Genomic DNA, 25,676 nt, shown 5'->3' with positions numbered 1-25,676 from the left:
GAGATGTATTGAGGCCCTGCTGCATGTAAGGGCACGCGTGTGTGTGGGGGGGGTGGGGAGCGGTAAAAAGGTCCAGCCACGGGAGGCTATTCCAGGTCTATCAAGCTCAGGACACAGTGGAGGTTACTTTATAATCCTGATGTGCAGTTTTGTCCTCTGAATGGTTGGCATAGAGAGCAGAGCTGTAACAGACAGACACATCAGGCCTTATTTCAGCCCTCCAGTTTTTAGTTCTTGGGGAAGATGCCAAGTCTCAGTTTCCACCCCCATAAAATGGAGTCTCTTCTTACCGGATTGTGAAGAGGATTAGAAATAAGGGTGTAAGGTGTTTTACACAGTAAAATGCTAGTAGCCATTTAGTAATTGATAGCTGTAACTTATTATTTTTTGGATAGAGTCTTGCCCTGTCACCCAGGCTGGAGTGCAGTGGCATGATCATGGCAGTCTCAACCTCTTGGGCCCCAGCGAACCTCCCACCTCAGCCTCCTGAGTAGCTGGGACTATAGGCATGGACCACCACACCAGGCTGATTTTTATATTTTTTGTAGAGATGGGGTTTCACCATGTTGCCCAGGCTGATCTCAAACTTCTGGGTTCAAGCAATACACCTGCCTTGGCCTCCTAAAGTGTATTAAGCTTCTTAAAGGGTAGATAAATTCAGAAGTTTCAGTTGAGACCCAGTAAACTTAAATTTCACTAAAAATTTTATTTGCCAAGTACATAAAATTTGGGGAGAACCTCCCAAAAATTAATTAAGCTACTTAAAAAATAACTGAATGCTTTTTTTTTTTTTTTTGAGATGGGAGTCTCACTCTGTCACCCAGGCAGGAGTGCAGTGGCACGATCTCAGCTCACTGCAAGCTCCACCTCCCAGGTTCACGCCATTCTCCTGCCTCAGCCTCCTGAGTAGCTGGGACTACAGGCTCCCGCCACCACGCCCGGCTAATTTTTTGTGTTTTTAGCAGAGATGGGGTTTCACCGTGTTAGCCGGGATGGTCTCGATCTCCTGACCTCGTGATCCGCCCGCCTTGGCCTCCCAAAGTGCTGGGATTACAGGCGTGAGCCACTGCGCCGGGCCCCAACTGAATGCTCTTATACCCTCCACTTTCATCCATTCCAGGCCACAAGAAAAGTGTATCATCGGGGCCTGGCGCAGTGGCTCACACCTGTAATCCCAGCACTTAAGAGAGGCTGAGGCAGGTGGATCACTTGAGGTCAGTTCAAGACCAGCTTGGCCAACAGGGTGAAAGCCCATCTCTACTAAAAATACAAAAAAATTAGCTGGGTGTGGTGGGCACCTGTAATCCCAGCTACTAGGGAGGCTGAGGCAGGAGAATTGCTTGAACTCGGGAGGTGGAGGTTGCAGTGAGCCGAGATCACACCACTGCACTCCAGCCTGGGTGACAGAGTGATGAGGCTCAAGTCATGTTTTTCTAGGCACAGATTCTGGGACCAGCCAGCCTGCCCGCCCAGGTTTGTACCTTAGCTCTGCCTCTTACCAGCAGTGTGAACTTGGCTCAGTTGTTTAACTTAACCTCTCTGTATTTCAGTTTGCTCATCTATAAAACGGGGATGATAGTATTTTGTAAAGGTTAAATAAATTAATATATAGGTAAATCTTTTAATACAGTACAAGGCATATTGTAAGGGCTAAGTGTTCACTGTTATCATTGCTACCATACACTCTGTGTAGACAAACCATAGTTCTCGTAAGCAAGCTAGCAAAGCTTGAGCCCTGGAGAGGGCTCAGGACCCAGGCCTATTCCTGCCTCCTAAGGAGGCTCTAGGTTCTCAGGGCACCTTGGTTCCCCTCTGCAGATGACTGTTATCCCTTCTTCCTCCTTTCCTCACTATATATTCCAGGCCTCCAATACTCAACAAATGTTTGGTAGCAGCCCAGTGGTTTTCAGGATGGAGAAACTCATATTCAGAGGGGCTTGGGGACTAAGAGGAAACCCACGCTCTTCAGTGATTTCAGTCGGAGCCCAGTCCCGGAGCCCTGCCTCCCCTCTCTATTGTACCCCTTCCTCCATGCTGCCGCCAGCATCCTGGGTGACCTCCAAGAGCTGCCTCCTGGAGTAAACAGCAGAGGCCGGGTGGGAGTGCAGGGATGGGGCATCTGAAGCCCCAGTTGTGATGACCAAGGTGCCACCAGCCTGCTGAGGTGGAGTGAGAGGGAAAACACGGACTCTACTCCCTCACCCCACGTAGCTTCTGCTCCAAATAATTAAGCTCCAGTTTCCTCCCTGATGAGTTTTGGTGCTGACACCAAAAGGAAACACCAGGAGCCCGGTACGACTCTGCCATGCCCAGAGCTCAAGCTTCGGAGGCATTACTGAGAGGGGGAGAGAGCGTTCCTTGGGCGTGAGTGAGGCCCAGGGCAAGGAACCCCTCCTCTGCTCTGCCCTTCTGGTTCTCCTCAGCTAATTTGTTCAAGTTTGGAGAATGCCAGTAGTCACCTGTATCACCAGTGGGCCTTCTCAGATGCAAGACTTAAAGCCAGTAACTTTTAGACCAGTCTCCTGGTTTCTGTGAGCACCAGATCCTTGTGTGGAGCCTAGATGATAAACTACGTAACAGAGGACCTTTGAGGGCTCAAATGCGGTAAACAGCTCATTCTGCACTAGTGCTCTGTCCAGATGGTGCCTCATCACCTTGGACTGCAGCGGTTGGTTTATGTAAAGGTCTCCTCCTCACTCCTTGTTTCTCACAGGCAACTACCATGCTTCATTCACCTGGCACATGACAAGCATTCACGTAGTTAAGTGCAACTGACCGTCAGGTCAGGTCTGGTCTACAGATGGGTTTTATTTTGCTTGCAGAGTATGTAAATTTTTTATTTGTTGCGATCACATCTCGTACAAAAATCTGGATTCCCCAGATTCTCTGGACAATTTTGAAGTTGGGGCATTAGGGTCCATCTTCCTGCATGGTGACAATCAGCACCTAGGACAGGCTGCCCCGTTTAGATGGATGCTGTCCACTGTGCCTGTCCCCATCACTCCCTCCTCTCACATGGGAATTGCCTCAGCTTCCTTCATTGATTTGACCTCCCTGGTCTCTATAGACAGCGGAGTTAGCAGCTCCTGTTGGTGACTTAGGCAGGAATGGAAGAGGTCTCCATCGGCCCCACCAAAACCAGTTGTCAATACATGCCTGTGGCAAAGGCAGCATCTGAGGCTTGCCAGGCAAACAGCAGCTAGAAGACGCCTCTGGAGAGACCCTTGGTCAGCAGGTATTCTAAACAACCCAGCTATTTCATGGTAGTCAATAGCACGGATGTGTGGTTGATTTGGCTGCACTCAATCCTTTTTCTAGTCCAGTCTCTGGTGAAAAATAGGCGAGGGTATGCCATTTGTGCAAGAAGGGGGAAAGGTAGGCACTTGGCTTCACTGAACCACCATCAGGCATCAAGGAAAAGGCTTCTTGGCCTTCCCATCCAAGCAAGCATTCTAATCATGGTCACCAGGAAAGTGGCCAAGACACCCAACAATATAAAGAAAGGGTGGTGGGGGTGACAGCAGGTCATTCCAGGCTGAGGCCAGGGCATGCAGAAGCATGGAGGTGCAGGCTACTGGGGTCTATGAAGGGCCTAAGGATGGGGCAGGAGGAACAGCTGGAGCGATGGCATATGCCATGTTAAGAGAGTAAGCTGTGTGAGAAACCAGGGAGTGAGGATGCAGGGGAACAAGTCATGGCTTGAGGCTTCTGCTTGGAGAAAGAAAGACAATTCACTTTAATAGTAATTCCCAAGATGGAGAGGCACCATCACTCACCCTCATTTTTTATTTTTATTTTTTTTTTGAGATGGAGTCTCGCTCTGTTGCCCAGGTTGGAGTGCAGTGGTGTGATCTCAGCTCACTGCAACTTCCGCCTCCTGGGTTCAAGCGATTCTCCTGCCTCAGCCTCCTGAATAGCTGGGATTACAGGCGCCCGCCACCATGCCCAGCTAATTTTTCTATTTTTAGTAGAGACAAGGTTTCACCATGTTGGCCAGGCTGGTCTGGAACTCCTGACCTCAAGTGATCCACTCACCTTGGCCTCCCAAAGTGCTGGGATTACAGGCGGGAGCCACTGTGCCCGGCCTAGGATTTTTTAAATACGATTTTTTCCCCAGAACGTCAGTATAAGAAAACACGTTATATATGAAATGTATGAAATGGAGCAGGTCTGGTGATGGGGCTCGCAGGGGGCTCTGGGCAATCTTCAGTGTCTTCTTTACGGAGGTCCCCAGCGTCGGAGTGGCACAGGTCGGAGACCGCTGATCTCGAGTAGGACTGCATTTTAAACGCAGAACGAGCTGCCCCAAGATAGAGTTCCTTTTGCCTAAGAAGCCAAGAGCTCCTATAGAGATGAACAATTCCACTTCCTGTTGCCACATTTTTAACTATTTATTGAATGAGGCAGTCAAAGACAGAATGGGAAACAACACAGAATCCATGCTCTGCTACTGGGGTTTTGCTTTTTTCTTCGTCTTGGCAACTTCTCAAACTATTTGGAGGTTATTTCACCACAAAGGAACATGGACTTTAAAGTCCCTGGACAACTTCACAATGACGATAAAAAATAATAATTAAAAAAATAACAAATTGTAGAACTAGGACTATTTATATGTAAATTTCCCTCCCCTCCCCCCATTACGTACAGAAAAGAACATATAAAGAACATTAGATAGTTTTATATAAAACAAGCAAATACAAGAATCTGAAACTTCTCTCAAAGGTTGAGCAAGACGTGGAGAATCTTTTAATGTCGCATTAAAAAAACACATTAAATACACCATCACACACATGGGGAGAGCTGGGAGGAGGGAGGAGGAGCTGTCCCTGTACTCAAGGTTCAGAGATTTGGCCTGTTGAAAAGTCAGGTGAATTCAGCTACTGGAGACTCAGGGCTTGCAGCTGAGAAAGACAGAGTTAACGGTTACCAAGAACACCCAGATAGTCAACACCTCTGAGGAGGCAAGCTGCTCCCGGCCTGGGCCACGAGGTTGCATCAAGGAACATGGGCCTCCAGGAGTCCCTTCTGAAGCAGGGCCTGATCCAGGAACACAGCAAACACCCTCAGCTGTTTTCTATGGCCAGGTGTCCCTTCTTCCCTTCCGCGTACTGACCGGGCCCAACCAAGCTTAGCTTCCAAGATCACACAAGATCAGGGGCGTTCAGGGTGCTGTGGCCACAGACCAGATGTCTCTTCTTGTTCATTCCAGCGCCTCCTCTGTGAAGCTACAGACAGTAGAGAAAATTGCTCCCACGGGTGTATCCTGGTCTAGGACGATTTTTCTTTCCTTCCTTTCCCTTCCACTGCCCCCGCCCCCTTCCCATCCTCTCCCCCACCATGCACGCACACACACAAGCACACTTACACGCACGCACTCCTCAAACCCCTAATACTTCGGTTACCTTCAGTTCATATATACGAGCAATTCAGGACTGACCTTAAAACCAGAGCAACATTTTAATAGTCATGAGATCAAGGATTCCTGGGAAGGAGAGGAGATGGGAGGCTGAGGCCCGGGAGCTTTCAAGACATTCATCTGCCTGTGGCAAGGTCAGCACCTGGGCCAGCCCGAGGAGCATCTCAGCTGGCAGACCACGCAGTCCCTGGACCTTGCAAGCACATCTCTGACCCACCCCATGCTGGAGCCTCTTTCCTCAGGTGAGTCCAGCAGGGAGAGTTCTGTGTGGCCACTGGGAGGCAGCTTTGGTGAAGGGCATGGTCACCTCCGCCTGAGTTTGTCAGTAGCTCAACGCATGACCCTGGTATGAACAAAAACTGGGTGACTGTGTCTGGCCACGTACCCTACCACCCACTAAACTGGGTGAATTATTGTTTCCACAGCGCACCTTGATTTCATACAGATAATTCCATGCGGGTTTCATACATATATATATATATATATGTATATATATACTTTATATATATGTAAATGTGTATGTCCATATGTACACATATACATATATTCACACTCACACATACACACACATAAGTATACACACACATTTCCGCAGAAAGAAGTCCTGCCACAATTTGGCTTTTTTGGGACAGTGAAATTGACAATGCAGTTTCTTCACCAATCCCAGAAAATCAAGAGTGGTGCTTTAAAAAATGCAATTCCAAAATCCGCTTTCTTCCTTTTAAAAAAAAAAAGGTTAACAAAACTTTCCTTCCAAAGTCGAGAGACTTAATTCCATTTGATTGCACCTCTGCAAACGTGTAAAAAATTTTGAAGTAGACTAGAAAACGATGCCATAATATGGCTGTATGTCACTGTTCCAATGTCACCACCTCCACAGCTTGGCCGTCCATGGTGACTGCGCTGTCTGATATCCTGGTGGTCACAGGGGCCATGGCCACCTGCACTGGTCCGTTGCCCTGGGCGAGGCTGGTCACCACAGTCTGGTACATGCTCACAGGGATCTGGACCAGGCCTGGAGAGACAAAGAGAAGACCGTTGGTGGGGCTCAGGCTCAAGTTCCCAGATGCTGGCTGGACGGGGGCACCCAAGTCTTGCCTTTGAGGTATCGTGGTCACCAGCCTCAGGTGATCACATACCCATGGCCCAGGCACAAAGACATCTCTTTCCCACCCCATTAAAATTTTTTTCATTAATTTTTAAGATTTATAATTGATATATAGTAACTGTTCATGTTTATGGGGTACAATGTGATGTTTCAATGCATGTATACACTGTAGAATGATCAAATCAAGAAAATTACCATATTAATCTCTTTAAAGATTTATCATTCATTGTGGTGACAACATTCAAAATCTAGCTATCTTGAAACACAGACTACATTGTTATTCGCTACAGTCACCCTACTGTGTAACTGAACACCAGAACTTATTCTTCCTTTGCACCTGCTGGCCAACCTCTCCTGCCCCCCTCCCCAACCCTTCCCCAGACTCTGGTAACTATTATTCTACTCTCTACTTCTAGGAAATCAACTTTTTTCCATTTTAACTTTTTTTTTTTTTTTTTTTAAGAGACAGGGTCTGGCTCTGTAGCCTAGGCTGGAGTGCAGTGGCGTGACCACAGCTCACTGCAACCTCGAACTCCTGGATTCAAGTGATCCTCTCACCTCGGTCTCCTGAGTAGCTGGAACCACAGGCGTGTGCCACCATGCCTGGCTAATATAATTTTTTTTTTTTTTGAGATGGAGTCTTGCTGTGTTGCCCAGGCTGGTCTTGAACTCGTGGCCTCAAGTGATCCTCCCACCTTGGCCTCCTGAATAGCTGGGATTACAGGCGTGAACCACCAACCCTGACCATTTTGATTTTTTTAAAACAGACTATCAGAAAAGAAAAGTTTAGAGAAATTGTGGAAACATGCCTTAGGGTAGGGCCTTCCCAGCTTGCCGTGAGAGGGCCCTGCCTGCCTCCGCATCTAGGAAGCACAGGCCCGTCAGGTGTGAATGTCCCCGGCCTGTCTTCTCCCTCTCAGAACAGGCCACCATTATTTTTCTTTGATATTTGGCTACACTGCCTTCTTCAACCCTCTTTCTGCCTATGCTTAAGTCTCTCTCAGCTTGAAAAGAAAAATCTTGTCCCTCTCCTATCCTGTCTTCTGGCCACTGCTCCGTCTATGTGCCTTCCTTCATAGTCAAGCTTATTTTATTTATTTATTTATTTTTAAAGCCTAGGTCACTTGTTTCCTGATTTCTAGATTTCACACACCAGTAAAATGTAAAAACACATTTTGGGGTCAACTTAAAAAAAAAAGACCCCAGCTACTCCCTAATATCACTATTATTTCAGAGTAGAAAGGATGGCTTAAAGGAAGAAGCACATAACCTCCATAAAGGTAGTCCTGCCTAAAAAGGGAAAGCTGATAATACATTAAAAAAAAGGATTCCCAGTAAGGCAGTAACTAACATATACATCAATCTCTCTTCCTTCTGAAACTAGAATTACAGTGAATGAGGAAAAAAGGATATAACCGAGGGATGTCAACATTTTTTGGGAAGATGCAAAGCAAATGTGAAATGGTTCTGATTGAACAGAGAAGTGGAAGGGGCAACTCCTATGCTCACACAGGGCTCAGCACATAGAGGCCTAGCTACGGCAGAAAGAGGGATGAGGCTAAAAATGAGAATGAGTGGAAAGTTTGAATTTAATTGATTAGACCAACCCCAACATCCAGACCCAAAGACCTTTGCTGACTGGGCCTCTGAGGTTCACCCACTGTATTGAGAAACTGACCCAGAGAGGCCCCTTTTAGTTCTTTTTGACATTTAAACCATAGGCTACTTTGATGAAGATAAAAATTATTTTAAAAAGGGTTGTCAAAATATTTTCTAATGCAAAAAAAATCAAATATAAGATTTTCTTTTCCAATGTTAAATTGTATGTAACTTTTTTCTAAGAGTAAGTTTTGCCAGTTTAGGGATAAGGGGTAAGCATTTGATGATGCAGTGAGACTTCATGAAATGAGACTTGCTGTTATGGTGACGCATCACTAGAAACCCTGGCTCCTCTGGTGTGCCCTCACCGAAATGGAAGACGTGGCCAGTCGCCCCCACACTTGCAATGCAGGCCTGAAAGGAGGAGGAGAGAGGCCAGCCTCCAAGTGCACGTGGGCATGGGGGAAGCACGCAGAAGGGCCAGGCCTTGGCCTACAAAACTGTGGGCTTCAATTTCTTTCAACTAAACCTTTGCAAATTGCTCTTAACTGTCTTTAATTAATCTCTCTTTCAGTTCACCCCTTCCCAGTCACTCAAATTATCTTTCTTTATTATTATTTATTTTTTATTTTTTTAAATAGTGACGAGGTCTCACTATGTTGCCCAGGTTGGTCTTGAACTCCTGAGCTCAAGTGATCCTCCTGCCTCGGCTTTCCAAAGTGCTAGGATTACAGGCATGAGCTACCACACCCAGCCAAAATATCTTTCCATAATGTTACTCCCCTCATCTCAAACATTTAAATTCCATGGTTTTTAAAAGGTTTCCAAAGCTTGTAACAAAGTTCAAATGATTTAGCATGGTCTTCAAGGCCTTTCGTGGTTTGCCCTGGTCCATCTTTCCAGTCTCATCTCCCTCACTCTCTCACAGGTGCCCTGTCCTCTAGGTGCCCCCCACCCCCAGACTACTCTCAGTTCCCCCAATCTATCAGCCACACTCTTTTGGGCCTTTGCTCAGGTTATTCATGAGATAGACTTATCCCCCACTCCTTCCTTTTACACTGGGGTGAGCTTTCCCTCCTTGTGGAACCTGCCCCATCCCAGCCTTATCAATGCTGGAGCAGCCTCCTCTGGATTCACAGGAGGCCCAGGGACAGCCATGGATAAGCCAGCTGGGCCAGTTGATGCATGTCTGCAACAGGCCTTCCCACTTGACAGAGGGTTCTTTCAAGATCAGGCCTGGCTCTGGCTTATTTCATGTTCCTCACAGTATGAAGTACAAAGTGTGCCACAAGTTGCTATCAGCATAGCCTCAAGGGCCATGTACTGCTGGCCTCAACCAACGTGCAGCTGGGCCCTCTCCCCAGCCTCTAGACTCAAGGCATGGGACTGAGTGTATATATATGTGAAGATTGTATAACCCCGTCAGTCCCCCGCCTCCTCCTATCACGATCAGGCTCTCTTCTGGTCAAAACAGGCAAAGTTAACGAAATCACCCAAAATGCCCAGTGGCAAAGCCAAGACACCTGTGTGTTCCTCCAGGGAACCCACATACTGGCAAGTAGCAAGCAAAACCAGAAGCAAAGGTCAGCCTCATTTCACTGCTCTTGCCTCTGGGCTCCATTCAGTTCCAAAAGCTCCAGGCTTGGGGAACAAGTCCCTTGCTGTACAAATACAGTGACTACAGTGTGCAGGGAGATCTTTTCTAACTAACTGTGAGCAACCATCTGGGTTAGGGCTGGTGTGAATAGAAACTAAAAGAATTGTCAAAGTTAAATTTCTTTCACCCTGGCTGTGATGTGTTTGGGTTTCCTATGATGTGGGCCCATGCCCAATTGTTAAAATAGTTTTCATAGTATCACGGAAGATTTTCCCCAGAATAAATGAAGCAAGGTTCTAATGCAAAAATCTATCTATTGGCTGATACTGCCATCATCAGAATGATCTTCTGAACATCTGACCTGATCTTGCTGTTCTCCTTCACAGTTCTTCAGTGGTTTCTAGTGGCCCACGGGATATAAAGTCCAAACCCCTTTGCAGGTATTTAAACTCTTCACGTCGGCCACTGTTGTTCAGTTAAGCCTGGTGATCCACTAATCCCCACTCACTTCACACGCCAGCCAGATGAACTACTTGACTGAGGTTCTCCAAGCACACACCTCCATGCCTTCTGCCTGGAGGGGGCTCCTCCCCAGCCTCTCTCCTCCCCATCTTGGGTCCTCTTCTCCGATGCTCCTCCTCTGCTCCCTGTACAGGCTCCTTGGAGACAGCGGCCTCATTCATCCTCACTGCTCGTATGTCTTGTCCCCAAGGAGACCGTAGATTCCTTAAGGGAGGAATTAAGTCTCCATCTTTGAGTGGCCAGCAGTCAGCAGGTGCTGGAATGTTTTCTACTACCATGAATGAAACCTGCTTACTAAGATTTAACTTGTGTCCCTTCTAGGGACTGCGTGATTAAGGTGGGTGAGCCTTAGGGTGATGAGGCTGTTCTGGAACAAGAGCTTCCAGCCCAGAAAAAAAGCAGCTTCAAAAATACTATATTCAAGACTCACCCAAATAAAGCTGTTTTTGAAAGATTCCATCTTCTGTACTCCACCCCAGACAGGGAAGAAGCATATTTGGCCACACCTGGGTGAGGAAATGGTCCCCACCCAAAGCTCCCAGGGATGAGTAACTGGTGAGGACAGCCACACACCTTAGAAGCACAGGAGAGGGAGGCCATGATGGGAGTCATTTCATAACCTCGCATGCCTTGGAACCCCAATTCCGCTGTTTTCTACATAGAGTTTCTGTCTACTGCCACCTTAAATAAATGCATGACCACTGTAGGGATTTTAAGACCTCTGTCTCTCTCACACACAGCCATTTTGACATGGGATTAGATTAAATCGCCTCAGTGTCTCTGACCTAACAGCCTTCATGTCCCTGGCAAGGGAAAGGGGGAGGGGCTGGAGGCCTGGAAACCCAGCGTGCCCTAAGTCGGGCGGCTGCCCTTGGAAGAGAGATGATTAAATGCTGAGGTACAGTAATCAGGCTGGGACTGTCCCTGCATCTGCTCAGCCTGCCCCTGATTAGCCCTAATCTAGAGGCGCATGTTAATCCAAGCTTGTATTCTGGGTCATTTCGATTGATTAAGCAACAGGAAGCCCTTCGTGTTCTACTTTAAGGGGTGGAAGTGCTCCTTTTTCTTACAGGGCCCTTGTAGAGTCCTGGTAATGAGACCCTTGGCCTCAGTACAGCCCCTTTCTGAGCCCTCTCACCCCCGCTGCATGTCACTTGACTTCTGCTGAGACCCTAGAGAAGTCCACAGGGCAGGGCTCCTTCCCTTTCACGAGTCAGAGCCAGAACCACGGGCTCATCATAAAGGCACATACTTCTAATGTCCTGAAGACTTTAGTATTTCAGAGCTACACACAACCTTGGAGTTAACTCAGTTTAGTAAATACAACCCGTCTTTTTATTTGAACTCAAAAGTAAACATAAAAATTTTATTAAAAAAAAAAACCTCAACACAGATCAAAGGAGGACTGATTTTGTTCCCCAAATGACTGAGTTGATGGTAAAGTCAGGGACCCAGGCCTTTGATTTGGGAGTCTTTTTCCATATATTAGAATGTCCTTAAACACTTAACACCAGGGCCAGGAAGGATCCAGAAGGGAGAGGACTGTCCTCTTTGGGCCCCCTGCTGCTTTTCTTCTCAAGCTTCATGGTAAGGTTTATAGAATTGGTCAAAATGGAAAAAAAGTCAAAGGTGACTCAGAAACTTCAGGTGCCAACATAAAGATTTCCTCGTCAAGCAGCAGTTGGACCCAAATCTCTGGAAGAACTGGCTGCAGGACCATGTTTCCCTGTCAAGGACAATGAGGCCTGACATGGCTCTATTTTTTTTTTTTTTTAATGTGTATCATTCTTGAGCCAAAATGGTGAAACATGCTTTTCCCAAGTCTCCTCTCTTCCCAAATAAATGGCAATAACATTCTTCTAGTTGCTCAGGCCAAAAGCTCTGAAGTCATCCTTTACTTCACACATCCAATGCACCAGCTGATTCTCTCCCTTCAAATACAGAACCCAAATTCAACACTTTTCCCCCTGCCTCCCTGGACAGACACTACCATCTCTTGCCTTCCTTTGTAATAACCCTACTTTAGCGCCTGCCAGAGGGATCTTTTAAAACTTCCGTACAAAGTGATGCCTCTCAGATCACATTACATGGGTGGCAGATGATGATATCTATTCATAAGCCTGGCCTTGCACGCTGCAAAACAAGGGGCCATGAGGTTTTACAGTGGTCTGTCTCTGATGGTGGCACCAGGGGAGCACTGTGGTAGACCACGGGCACCAGTGAGATTTGCTTTAAAGGTTAGGGTCACAGTCTTGCACACTCTGGATTTATCATTCATGAGCCAATCTACTCTATTCCAGATCTCTCCTGGGGCAATGAGTTTCATCACTTGCCTATTGTGTAATGAAATTTACACACATAAACATATGTGCATGTATCCGTGGAAATGGAATTTATTTAGTTATTTTGAGGGACTTTATTTTTCCCAAGGCTAACTTCTTTCAGTATTCAGTATTATTGGATGAATAAGTATGTTTATCATGGTTAACATCTTAAAATATTGTTTGGCAAAAGCCATCCCATCCCATCAAAAACATTACTTTGCTTTCTCCTATCAGGAAAATAAAGTCTAAATAGCTAATAGTTGAAGGAGTTTATGTAGCCTTTCCTGCTAACACCCTACACTATCCCCTCATTACAATCACATGTGTCCCTTGGATGCCATGTGAACTTCCTCAGGCAGGTCTCTCTGTCTGGAATTAGGCCCTGCCAGTCTCAGGCCAGTTCTTCTAGCAGTTTCCACATGGTTCATGGGGTTGCCTCTGAGGGGACAGCCCACCTGGTTTCTCCCTCCTGTGACTTTATTGCCGCCACCATTCATTTGGCCCCAGGTATGTGCTGACCTGTTCCCAAGGAGTTGCTGCTTTTCTGTCTATAAATCTGCATGCTTGCATTGTTGGCAAGACTGTCTTTTTTTTTTTTTTTTTTTTTTGAGACGGAGTCTTGCTTTGTTGCTCAGGCTGGAGTGCAGTGGCCTGATCTCGGCTCACTGCAGCCTCTGCCTCCCAGGTTCAAGTGATTCTCCTGCCTCAGCCTCCTGAGTAGCTGGGATTACAGGCGCGCACCACCACGCCCGGCTAATTTTTGTATTTTTAGTAGAGGTGGGGGTTTCACCATGTTAGTCAGGCTGGTCTTGAACTCCTGACCTCGTGATTCACCTGCCTCGGCCTCCCAAAGTGCTGGGATTATAGGCATGAGCCACCGCGCCCGGCCGAGGACTGTCTTTTAATGTTGAGCAACTTGAACACAGTAGGTGCTCAATAATTGAATATGATATGAAAATGTATCATTGATCATACTCTTCATGAATTTCAGAAACTTGATGGTAGTCCCTTTAGTCTTGCCCTCCACAGACCAAACAGCCTTAACACCTTTTACTCTGATTCAGAATGAAGTCGAATTTTCTCCACAACCATTCTCATGGTGCTGCAGATCAGGTGCATTTTATGTGAGAAAAAGTAGGCTGTTTATTTCCATTAAAGGCTTCCCAGTCAGAAAGACCTACATGTGAATCTTGGTTCTGCTGTTTAATGGCTTGTGAGCCTGTTTCCTCATATGTAAAATGGTGATCACTCATCTCACAGGGCTGCTAAACTAGATAGATGGGATGACACATTAAAATCTATTACAGTGCTTGGCACATAGTAGGTATATAATAAATGCCACTGCTTTTCAAAGATGACTTTGAGTATGAAGTTTGATGGAGTCTGGCTGGGGTCACAGATGTTAGACTAAAGCTCTCGGGAAACAGAAAGAAAAGCAGAGACAACACAGATCTCCTTTCAGCAGTGATTTTCTCCTGCCAGGAAGCACATCATTCACCAAAGGCCTTCAAAGATGTAAAGATTAAAGATAACAGCCATGAAATCAGGGCAGATGGACTGGCAGGCAGCTTCCCTTCTGAAACACAGTGATGGTCAGAACTGGCACTGCACATGACGTAGATGAAGTGGTTGCTAATCGAGTGCACTGGTCAATAAGCAACCAGGCAGAACCACTCCTCAATATTAAGAATGTGAAAAATACAATCAGGGCAGTATGATGTGATGTCATCACCCTGATACATTTCTGAAGTCCTCCAGAAACTAACAGACTTGAGCCAGGCAGAGCACAGGGCTGCAGGGCTGTTGAAGTTATCCAGCACCATAGCTGGCCCTCCTCCCCTCACCCCACGACAAGATAGAGCAGGACAGACAACCTGAGGAAGAATGGGCCTTTCATTTGCCCTCACAGTCTGGGAAACCTTTGGGAATTGTTGTTTGCTGTAACTGAATCTTTCAGCCTGAAGGCCTTCCAAGGTGGTCATGGAAATATCTTTAGTTGGGAGAAAAATATTGATGGCTGTTGAGAGAAAAAGAGAGAGCTAAACAAATAATAAACATGACAGTAGGTGGAAAAGAAATAATTCTTAAAACCCAAAGGGAAATTTACATTACGTAATGCCTTCTTTAGTTTATGAACATGAACGCTAACCATGTACATCAAAGAAATACTGGCCCAAATGGGAACCGGGACCATGATTAGAAAGGAGAGGAATACGTGAGTAAGAAATTAAATTCCGGATTATATTGCTTGAGTTTTTAAGGAGCCAGCAACGGTATCTATAGGTGTTTCTAGGGGTGACAGGCAGGAAGGAAGTCCTTTAAAAATCTTCCATTTACAGGCCTGGAAAAATATTTACATCAGTGGCTGACGTCTAAGGAAAGCCACTATATGAAGAAAAACAGGCATGGTATGTGCCAGTATAGAAGTGGAAGAAGATAACAGGAAATCAGTAAAGAAGCTAGTCTAGCAGGCAGACAGCAGTTAGACAGGCTGAGAATACCAAGGACTAGATGGAAAGAGGACATATGTAGGGCAAGAAGAGGAAGGTCATGAAGAGAATGTCAATATCAAACAAAAAGGAGGTCCAAGTAACCTCATGATAGTAGGGCAAACGGGGAAGAGAAAAAGCATTTCTTTCCCAGTGGTTCTGTTTCTGTTCTATTAGCTGCTTTTGGGACATTTAATCTCCCTTTTCCGTGTTTCCTAAGTCCAAGCTTTTGGGTACATTTGGGGGATTTATGGATTAAAATATGTCTTACATCTGGCAAGTACTGAATATTCTCATGAAGCCAAGAGCAGCCTCACAGGTGCCTTGGTGCACAGGGTGCTTTTCAGCACTCAAAGAGTTTTCTTCTCTCTTGCTGGACCATCTCAAGACTAAGAAAAACTGCTTTCTGGAATAACATTCAAAGGAGTGACTCTGGTTGAGACAGGCTCACTCTATCTTTTGCCTGCTTTTGCAGACCACCAGGAAGCTTTTCATGCCCCTCATCCCATAAGCCAAATATTAAAACTGAATTCATTTTTACTTTATTAGTAAATATATCTCAAGACCTATTTTGGAGATACAATGTCATGATTTCCTCTTGAAATTACTGGCAATGCCCAGGAGCGTTATGAAACGCTCTGTGTTTCAGTATTCAGAACCACCATGGTTTATTATCCTGAAAATTGAGCTCCCAACGTGGGGATGAACAAGCTAACTGCAAGGCCTGTTGACCCTGCCAAGAAGGCTTTAAACTGAAAATGGCAGGAGAGAAAGCGTTCTGCTGAAGCTTGTGGAATATGCACGTGCTCTGGAGCAGCGGTCCCGAGCATTTTTGGCAGCAGGGACTAGTTTCATGGAAGACAGTATTTCCATGGATGGGGGGGGGGTTGAGGGGGATGGTTTGGGGATGAAACTATTCCACCTTAGATCATCAGTTCACAATAGGTTCGTGCTCCTATGAGAATCTGATGCCGCTGATGATCTGACAGTAGGTGGAGCTCGGGCGGTGATGCTTGCTCACCTGCCACCCACCTCCTGCCGTGCCAGGGACTGGGGACCCCTGCTCTGGAGGACATCTGATCTGACTGTACAGAGCAAGGCAAGGGGTACCCAGTAAATTCCCAGAAGAAATCACTAGGAAGAAGGGTGGGAACAACACTCAGGTTGAAGTCTGTGTCCCAGAGGATAGATCATGGCAATATGCAGAGTGCACCAATATTTTAAAATGGAAAGTGGAGCCCAGATGACAAACCTCAGAAGAAGAAAGTCACCAGGAGCCTGCAACAGTCAGGTGCAGAAATGAACAGCAGGCCCACTCAGGAGTTACTCAGAGTTAGGAAGGGAGATTTATTTATTTTTCTGTTATTATTACTTTCAAACTTTTTTTTTTCTTCAAACTTTTTATGATGGAAAATGTCAAATAGGCACCAGGAGAGGGAGGAGTACAATGAACCCCCATGTGCCTGTCATCCAGTCCCTGCCTCTTCTATCTGAGCAGGGATACGCTGAGGCAAGGAAGCTTCCAAAGATGTACTCGTGACTTTTCATCCCCTCACTCAGCATAATCTGTAGAGCACCATTTAGGAAAAAAACCACAAAAAAACTAAAACTTTTTAAGAGCACATAAAGGGCAGAATTAAATTTGCTCTAGGCAGTGAGACACCTGAAAAAAGCAGATCAGTAAGTGGAAATAGACAGTAATGGGGCTTTAGAGTAAGATGGAAAGAACTCTATCCCAATAAAGTTCATCTTCATCAAGTTTTTCTCCTGCTTTTCCTATCTGAACTGTACTTAGCATAGCCAAATTGTTAATGGGGACAAGTTCTTTATAAAAGAATCCCAACTAGAGGTGGGAGGATCACTTGAGGCCAGCAGTTCGAACCTGTAGTCTGGGAATAGCCACTGCACTCCAGCCTGGGTAATGTAGTAAGACCCTGTCTCTTAAAAAAGAATTCCAGCTAATAAATGAAAAGGAAACATTTAACACTAGAAAAATCAGATAATCAATGGAATCAATGGTTACTAAAACTATCAGGTGACCGAGTGAGGGGGACTGCACAGTAGAGGAATCCCACCATCCAAGCAGGAAGCAGCGCCTGGAATGACAGCCTCACAGTGACTCTATCCTCCAGCTGCTTCCTTCTTTCCCCAAAGATGAACCCACCTGTGGCTTTGTCAGTCAGGATCCACTTGCGACCTGCACGATCTGCCATAAAGAGGCCTGACAATAACACAGAACTGTTAAAAAAAAAAAAAAAAAAAAGCACCGGGCAAGATGGGCCACCAGCCCCGCTGCGGCGCTTGCAGCCTCCCATGCACATCTGGTGCAGGGTGCACAGCCTCGCTCCTTCCACCCGTGAGGAAAGCCTTCGGCAAGCATGCCAGCACCAAGTGCTAATGTGCACTTAGACCACCAGATCTTAGTTCAGTTGAAGGGAGAGGAGGTCATTTCCCTCATATTTCCCCCTCGCCGTTGGAATTTGTGATGTGATTTTCTTGTAGCAGACTTACCTTCCTAATTATGTCTTCTTTAAGCTAATATGAAAACTAATTTGTATTCCCTAAGTACCCAGCAGCTGGGTCGGGGGGCAGAGGAGATGGTCCAGGCTTACACTGGCTCGCTCAGAGAAATTGCCCAAGGATTTAAAATGTGTCACGAGTAATCTGCGTGACAGATAATCTGTAGGTAACAAGTAAGAGTTGACTATATTCACATTTGTAAAACCAACAGGCCACTTCTGTATCTTAGGACCACTATGAGGATAAATAACATCATGCTTACATGATTTAAGTTCTTGAGAAAAAAAGACACTGTCTAAATTTGAAGTAGTATTGTTATTTTACGTGGGCTTTCTCCAGGAGTCAAAGCAACTGTGTAGTAGCTACTAGACACAGACAAATGGAAGAAGCAAGATTAAAGGCCCTGTCCTTGGTCCCAAGAGTTGCTGAAAATGGAAAGTGTTGGCAGCCCAGCGTTCCACACCCAGCAGCATTGTCCACACAATGCACAACTTGTTTACACACTCTTGGCCCGAGTGTTCACATGCCCTCTTGTTTTACTAAGGTGCTCCATTTAATGAGAAAAGGACTGTCTGGTCCAACAGCAGGGCTGTGAAAGTTTAATTAGGAGAAGGCCAAGGAGAAGGTCAGCTGAAAGTGGACATTCCTAAAATTAAATTTCCTTTTCATTGTTATAATTCAGGTTTTTTTTTTTTTTTAAACAAGGGGTAGGAGTAGGCAAAGGACATGAAATCCTTGGAGAAAAAAATACAAAAAGGTGAAAAAGAACACAGTCTAGGTAACATGGCTGGAAGGAGTTGTTCCAGAAACATTGAGGCAAATTTCATTTTTTCCTTCCAACAAGCCTGCAATAGAAACTCCCAGGCTTCCTTAAGCAGCCGAGGCATTTCAAGAGGTTCAGACCAACCTCAAACAGTGTGGTCCACTGGAGCTTCCTGTGATGATGGGCACGTTCTGTTTGAGTGCTGTCCGACACAGTGGCTACAGAGTGCTTGAAATGTGGCCAGCGTGACTGAGGAACTGATTTTTAAATTTTATTCTGTTTTAATTAAGTTTAAATAGCCAGAGCACAGCTCTAAAACCTTTCCAGAGCTTCCAGTGTGCCAACTCCATATCATAAACGTGCCTCCGACAGACAGACACATACACTCACACTGTGCAACACTCTTAAGAGTTGCCTTTGTTTAAATGGAAACTCAATCTAAATTGGATGCTTTGTATTCACCTAAAATATAGATTTCTGGTATTTCCCTTATTTAAGTCACAGGTTCTTTCCTTTACTGCCATACCTCATCAACTTATTTTAACACCCTCCAGCCCCTCCCCCACCAGGCCTCTGCATGAGAAACTATCAGCATGTGAGAGCAATGCAGTGTAGGTATCTGCATGTTACAGTGCTACGGGAATAAGGAGAGGATGGGCTGGGCAGAGTCGGAAGACTGCTGGACGCCTCTCTAGCGAGCCAATCTGATAGCATGGTCTTTGTAGTCTCACTCACAGCAGTGTCTCGGTTTCCATATTTAGACCCCTTCAATGATTCTCAGATGCAATTGCTAGGCTTTATGATGGCAAAGTTTTTTGTTTTTTTTTTTTTTTTTAATCAATTTCACTTAGAAAATCCCATTTAGGCTCTGAAAATCTCTAAATTGGGGCCTTTCTAATAATGAAGATTTGGTGTAATTATAATGTCACAGGCAATTGTGCTGACAAAGCAAAACCAGTATGTCTCCTTGCCAGGCCTTTGCTCTCAGTCTGACCAATAGGAGGAGAAAAGAGGCTTTGTCAGGAGCAGATGTGCACTGGGAGGCCCCAGGAAAGCAGATCTGTTGAATGAAGCAGGTGCCACTTAGACATTCACTTCACTGACTCCAACCACAACCTCCCCTTCATTTGATATCCTGCTCTTGGCAGAAGGATGGAGAAAGAGCATCGCACAAAGAGGAAGCATGTTTATCCTGTTCAGATTACTGCTTCTGCCAGGCTGCTGCTGCTGTTGGGTTCTGCACATTTGCTCTTTATTAAGCAAATGTCAGAGCTGGGTGCTGGCAAGTGAATCCCTGTATTTACACAGGTAACCTGAGAGCCAGAGGGCCCCAAACCATCCTGGCTGCGAGGGACAAGCTATTAGAGTTAATAACAGTGCACTGGCATTCCTTCAAAATCCTAATGGAAGCATAAATAAAAAGAGGAAAGTCCCCTTTACCCAAGAACCTGAAAAACTTTATAAGAATTTTTCCTGTTCTAATATTGTGATTCCTGTGTGAACAGTGATTAATGCCCTTTTTACATGCTCAATTAAAACCCACTTTGCCATCCATGTATTGAATAGAAATGACTCCAATTAAACTTGTCCAATTATGGCTCTGGATTTGGTATGCCAGAAAAAAAAATCCCTTTACAGAATAGCGCTCACAATGACAGGCACAAGATTCAGTCTTGGTTTATAAGGAGCTGGAATAATCTAAGACCAAAATCTGCCTTTACATACAAAGACTCCGAAAGATCTGCGGACCTAAAGGGAAGGAGAATGAGACAAAGAAGCATGTAACTTGGCCTTGAGGACACCGTGGATGGAGAGGAGACCACAGTCAGTGGTGTCCATCTGCCAGATGGCAGGGACCTTGGGAATCTGTCCGGAAGCCCTGACCTGAGTTGTCTGCTCGGAATGTCCCTGGCTCAGATTGGTGTTCTGTTCATAGGATGGTGTGCTGGCTCATTGAGTTTCCCCAAGCTGAGAATACCCAACACAGGCAGACCAAAGAGTAAATGAATTTGCATCTATTGAAGTACAGAAAAACAAAAAAAAGAGGACATGAAGGTATGCCAAAGGGACTTGATTCCTTTGGGGCCCTGACATGTCGACTAGAGGTATCCAGTCTTTCACATGAAAAGTATCTAAAAGCTACATCTGAAGGACATGGTCATGGCTTAGATGAGCACTAAGAATAAAGAATGACAGCTACTGGCCTATCATCTCATTGTAAAGGCCCTCTGTGTCTACTTTTGATCTGCAGTCTTTAAGCCTTCAAATAGCAGAGCTTAGGTTAGCAATTCCTGGCATATAAACGATGAATGCCCGAGGCCACCCCAGGTTATAATGGTAGAGAGAGAATGACACATCCCCTCTGGATGTGCAGACTACACAAGGAACCTAAACCCGCAAAGAGGGACAGGAGATACTCTCATGAGGCAGTGCTGGTCTTTCTGAAGGTGTCCACAGCTCAGCATCTCTGCAGGAGGCAAAGAAAAGCACCAAAGAACCCTGGCAACTGGAAATCCCTCCAGCTACGGGGGGTATGCCTGAGGAGTGACAGAAAAGGCCTGGTAATTCTAGAGAAGAGAATCTCAGTATGCCTGAGGGATATGATGGGACTTCCACCAGGAACACAGGCTTCCCGAAGTAGGGATCCTTGTGGGAGATTCACTACCACCTCTCTGCGAATGAAGACTCACTGGCCCTGGCCCTAAGCATATGTGCCAGAAGTACTAAGAGTGAACCTCTGAAGGTTACTTCCCTTCCCATTCGGTGTGAGTGATTAATCATTATAATGGTAATAATCATAACAGCAGTTGTAGCAGTGGTAGTCAACAGTTACTGCATGCCTCCAATGCCCCAGCCAGTAAAGAGAGTAGGACTATAGTCTCTGCTACCCCGCAAATTAGTGCCATCAACACATCTCCCAGGATGGGGGAGATTGGGGAGTCAGGAAACTGCCACCTCTTTCCAAGAGCTATTTTGGAAGGCACTTTGGACTTCAGGAGGTCATTATGAAGACAGAGGAGGAGGACACGTTTGAGAAGTGAAGAATCACCACTGAGCTGTCCCTTCCCCTCCTCAACACCATGAAAAGGTTGGGTGAGAAACACACATGGGGCAGAGAACTGTACCCCTCTTTGAGTGTCTAGAATCAAGAGCCCCAGTGAACAGCTCTGTGCTCCCATTTTTCAGCAGCAGCTCTGTTTCACTGTGAAATCTGGAATTCATGCAATAGTCATGGCTCCTGTCAGCTTTGTGACCCGTCAGGCTTCAGATATTTGATCTTTTGGCGGGCTACTATAAATCCATTACAGCACCTGGCTGCAGATACCTGTAGCCTAGAAGAGAAACTTGCACTTGTGAGGAATCCAAGTGGAAATATGCACATGGCCTGAGTCATGAATAAACTCACTAGGAAGTGAGTCTTGATGTCACCACTGTCTCCGGTCTCAGGTTTTCCTGCTTGGACTCTGCAGTGCATAAAAATAGATCAGTTCTCCTCGCAACCCTCCCACCCTGCTGTTTACTGGCTGCGGATTACTGCAGTCACATGGGTAGATTTTTTTTTTTTTTTTAAAAGCAAAGCCATGCTGTTTATGAGCTGAGAAGGTCACTGGAAGACAAAGCTCATGAAGTATTTGTGTTGTCCTCCCCTGTACAGAGAGGGTACAACTTGCCAGGAGACCACAGTGTTATTGATATAGCCCTTAGATCAGCACCACCCAATAGAACTGTCTTCAGTGATAGACATGTTCTGTATCTACACAGTCCATTAAAGTGGCTACTAGGTACATGTGCCTGTTTACATTTAAATGTGAATAAATTATAATTAAATTAAAAATTCAGTATCTCAGGGCGTATGTGGCTATTCAGCACTTGAAATATGATTGTGACTAATAACTACCTTTTACATTTTATTTCATTTTAATCAACTTGCATTTAAATTCAAATAGCCACATGTAGCTAACAGCTATCATACTGGACAGTACAGATTTAGATGTTAGGTTTTGGTATCATGTTTTTATTTGCCTCTGCTAAGATTTACCGTGAGTCTTTGACTTCTAAAGTGAGTAAAACATAGCTGCCACCATTCTTTAAAATAATCCTGCAAAGGAGTCACCACACCAAGTACTAGCATAACCAGATGAATAATAAAGGCCATGATTTTCATTTGTATTATGCCTTCTTTACTTCCTAGGTAGGCTAAGCTGGCAAGAGGGAGTGAAGGGGAAGAAGGGAGTTTCATTGGGCAGTAGAAAGAGTACTGGAGATCTGGTATGATTTCCAGTCTTACTATTTAAGAGCTGACAGATCCTGGGCAAGTCCCGGTTTTAGCTGCTTCTGAACAGGGCTCAGAAGATCTATTCTACTCAGTTTACTGGGTGAAGGTAGAATAATGCAGACACTGCTTAGCCATTTGCAAGAAGATGATGGTGGCAGTGGTGGTGGTTGTAGCAGTAGTAAAAAAACAAAATGAAAGAATGGACAATGAAAGGAAAAAGATGAAGACCCTAAATAATTATGCTCAATGTGTATAGCCAAAAGGCAAAATTACAGCCGACTGAAATGGTTATTTTCCTGGTATGACATCTACCAACATGCTTCCCAGAATGAAAACGATTCATCTTAGAGAAAAGTTAGCTGACTTAAATGGGAAAGTCCCTGTCTGCAAAGAAAGCCTATTTCCCAGGGGGGCGTGTGGAAGACACTAAGAGACACTGCTGTCCCAAGGTGCTGCACCACATACAGTTCCCAGGAAAAGCCGCCGGCTCCCAGCTCAGCTGGAGCCACAGGCAACGCTGCATACTCCCCTCACTCCTCTTCATTTTGATCCACAGCTCACAGCTCTCCTTATATTACAAGAAGGAATCTTTTCAGGTCTAGGACTATCCCCTCCTCCCCCTCTATTTAAAAAAGGCCTGTGATTCCAAAGGAGAAACAGTTGTAATACACATGAATCTTCATTTGCTTTTTCTTACAGAACAGGCGATGCCTCAGCGCAGTCTGAGACCAGCACTCTAGTGTCTTCATTTTCTCTCAAGGCACTCTATCAACAAGGGAGTGGGTGGAAAAGACCATTTACCTTACAGGAGGGCAGCCTAAAAATCCACAGCTACCAGCTGTGCTGCTCTTTGGGGACCTTGAAGATGAGAGGCTTGTATCCTGGGACTCACAGCTCACACAAAAAACAGTTGCTTAGGGGCTGCCTGCTTCAAGTCCTGAGGCACTGAGCTTACCATCTTTGGATAAAAGCTACAAATAGTATCACAGTGTCATAGAACACAACAGCACTTTTAAGGCTATTATGCTTATGGTGACTGAAAACGCACTCTTACACTAAGACTATTTAATACATTCATTTATTTAAACTTTAAAATAATGAGGCAAAAAGTGATTTAGTACACACTGGAATAGCACATCAGCAACCTTTTTGGGGAGAAACAATAATACAGTTCCTAAATTAACATTTACATCTCAGTGGACTCTTGTGAGAACAAGCCCATATACTGATGTGTCCAGGGAACAAGGAACACAGAAAAAGGTGGAAGGAGATGTGTTTTACAGTCTAACATGTGGAGGATTGGCATCATCCCTCTCATTTTTAAAGAGTTGGAACAGTGGGACATGCAGTAAGTAAAAATGGATGATGGTGGTGACAAAAAGGAAAAAATGGCAAAAGCTACCTTTCATGATAGAGTTGAAATACAATGCATCTGTTGAGATTTGAAGACACATTGTGCCATTTTAGGAGTAAAAAGGCCACACTCATGACCGCAAACTATGTGCAGAAGAGAACAGCAGCCCTAGACAAAGGCAAGTGATAGAGCCTTTAAACAATGTCACCTTGTATTTTCTTCAGTCAAGGTTACAGAAAGGGCTTCTAATCTAGTCCCATTTTTACAGCATCCACCTCTGCAACATACATCTTCATCTGCGAAAGGCAAGCATTCGGATCCGTCTTAAAGACAGGAAAGCAGCGTCTACATAGTACTGTGCACTCCAACATATGTGAGGAATGATGGAGAAGAAATTGATGCTGACAGCTAAAGAATTTTATATTTATGATGCATCCCTGTGCCAGGCACTATGCTAAGAACTTGACAGGAATCATCTTGTTTAATGCTCACAACTTCCTTCTGAGTACAGAACTATCATTATCCTAATTTTTACAGTTAAGGCTTAGAGAGGTTAATTTGCTTGCCTAAGATTACAGAGCTTGTTAGAGGTTCAGCTTTTAGGGTCTCCAGCTCTGCGGGACCTCCCCTCTCCATTGCTCCTCCTTTTACTCTCAGTGCTATACCAGGTATCTACAAAGTTAAATGATCCTCACCACCACCTTCTGTAGCAGAGGTTCTTAACCTTTTTTTGTGGGCTGGAGATGAACAGGGGTGGGGGTGGGGGTGGGAATGCCTCTGGTCTAGTTACACATTCAATCAAAGCTAATACCCTCCCTGCTGCTAGCGGAGGCAAAGAAAAAAAAAAAAGCTATAGATACCAAAAAAAAATACAAATACCTTTGTATAGAATTTCTCAGGGTCCATAGACCCCAGGTTAAGAATATCCTATTGGGCTGGGCGTGATGGCTCATGCCTGAAATCCCAGCACTTTGGGAGGCCGGATCATTTGAGGTCAGGAGTTCGAGACCAGCCTGGCCAACATGGTGAAACCCCATCTCTACTAAAAATTTAAAAAATTAGCTGGGCTCTCTCAGGAGGCTGAGGCAGGAGAATCGCTTGAACCCAGGAGGTGGAGGTTGCAGTGAGCTAAGATTGTGCCACTGCACTCCAGCCTGGGCAAGACAGAGTAAGACTCTGCCTCAAAAAAAAAAAAAAAAAAAAAAATTCTATTGAGCATTGCTGAGATTAAATTCTGCTGAGAAAACATACATATTTTAAAAAGTTTTTAATAAGGTCAAAGAAAACAGGGATGTGAAAAGGTGAAGATTGTCTAGTGTAAAAAGATAGAATGTTTTTCCCTAAAGAAATGTCTATATTAATTTAATTTGGCAGTTGGAATGCATAGTAAAATGTACGTTTGTTTTACAGCACAGTAAGGCAGGGTGGGGTCTTATAATTTTATTTTTTTATTTTGTATTTTATTTATTTATTTTTTTGAGACGGAGTCTCGCTCTGTCACCCAGGCTGGACTGCAGTGGTCTAGGCTTACTGCAAGCTCCACCTCCCAGGTTCACGCCATTCTCCTGCCTCAGCCTCCCAAGTAGCTGGGACTACAGGTGCCTGCCACCACGCATGGCTAATATTTGTATTTTTTAGTAGAGACGGGGTTTCACCGTGTTAGTCAGGATGGTCTCGATCTCCTGACCTCGTGATCCATCTGCCTCGG

General features: G+C 45.2%; 1 protein-coding gene and 1 pseudogene across 4 annotated transcripts in view; both read right to left on the bottom strand.

Moving 5' to 3' along the window:
- Nucleotides 1-4,372: 4,372 nt before the first annotated feature.
- The window catches only part of NRF1 (nuclear respiratory factor 1), a 145,357-nt gene continuing 124,053 nt past the window's right edge, over nucleotides 4,373-25,676 (bottom strand). For 3 of the 4 annotated variants that reach the window (NM_001293164.2, NM_005011.5, NM_001040110.2), the window contains one exon: nucleotides 4,373-6,431. In NM_001293164.2, coding sequence (NP_001280093.1) covers nucleotides 6,268-6,431 — 164 coding nt within the window. In that variant the 3' untranslated portion in view covers nucleotides 4,373-6,267. Of the gene's footprint in view, nucleotides 6,432-17,219; nucleotides 17,277-25,676 lie in introns of all 4 variants that reach the window. The other variant, NM_001293163.2, reaches the window with a different exon arrangement.
- Nucleotides 5,072-5,183, bottom strand: RNA5SP244 (RNA, 5S ribosomal pseudogene 244; annotated as a pseudogene).

This window comes from Homo sapiens, chromosome 7 (genome assembly GCF_000001405.40).
Source record: "Homo sapiens chromosome 7, GRCh38.p14 Primary Assembly".
Classification (NCBI taxonomy): Eukaryota; Metazoa; Chordata; class Mammalia; order Primates; family Hominidae; genus Homo; species Homo sapiens.
The sequence above is the reverse complement of the archived record's forward strand: the minus strand, read 5'-3'. Positions and strand labels throughout refer to the sequence as shown.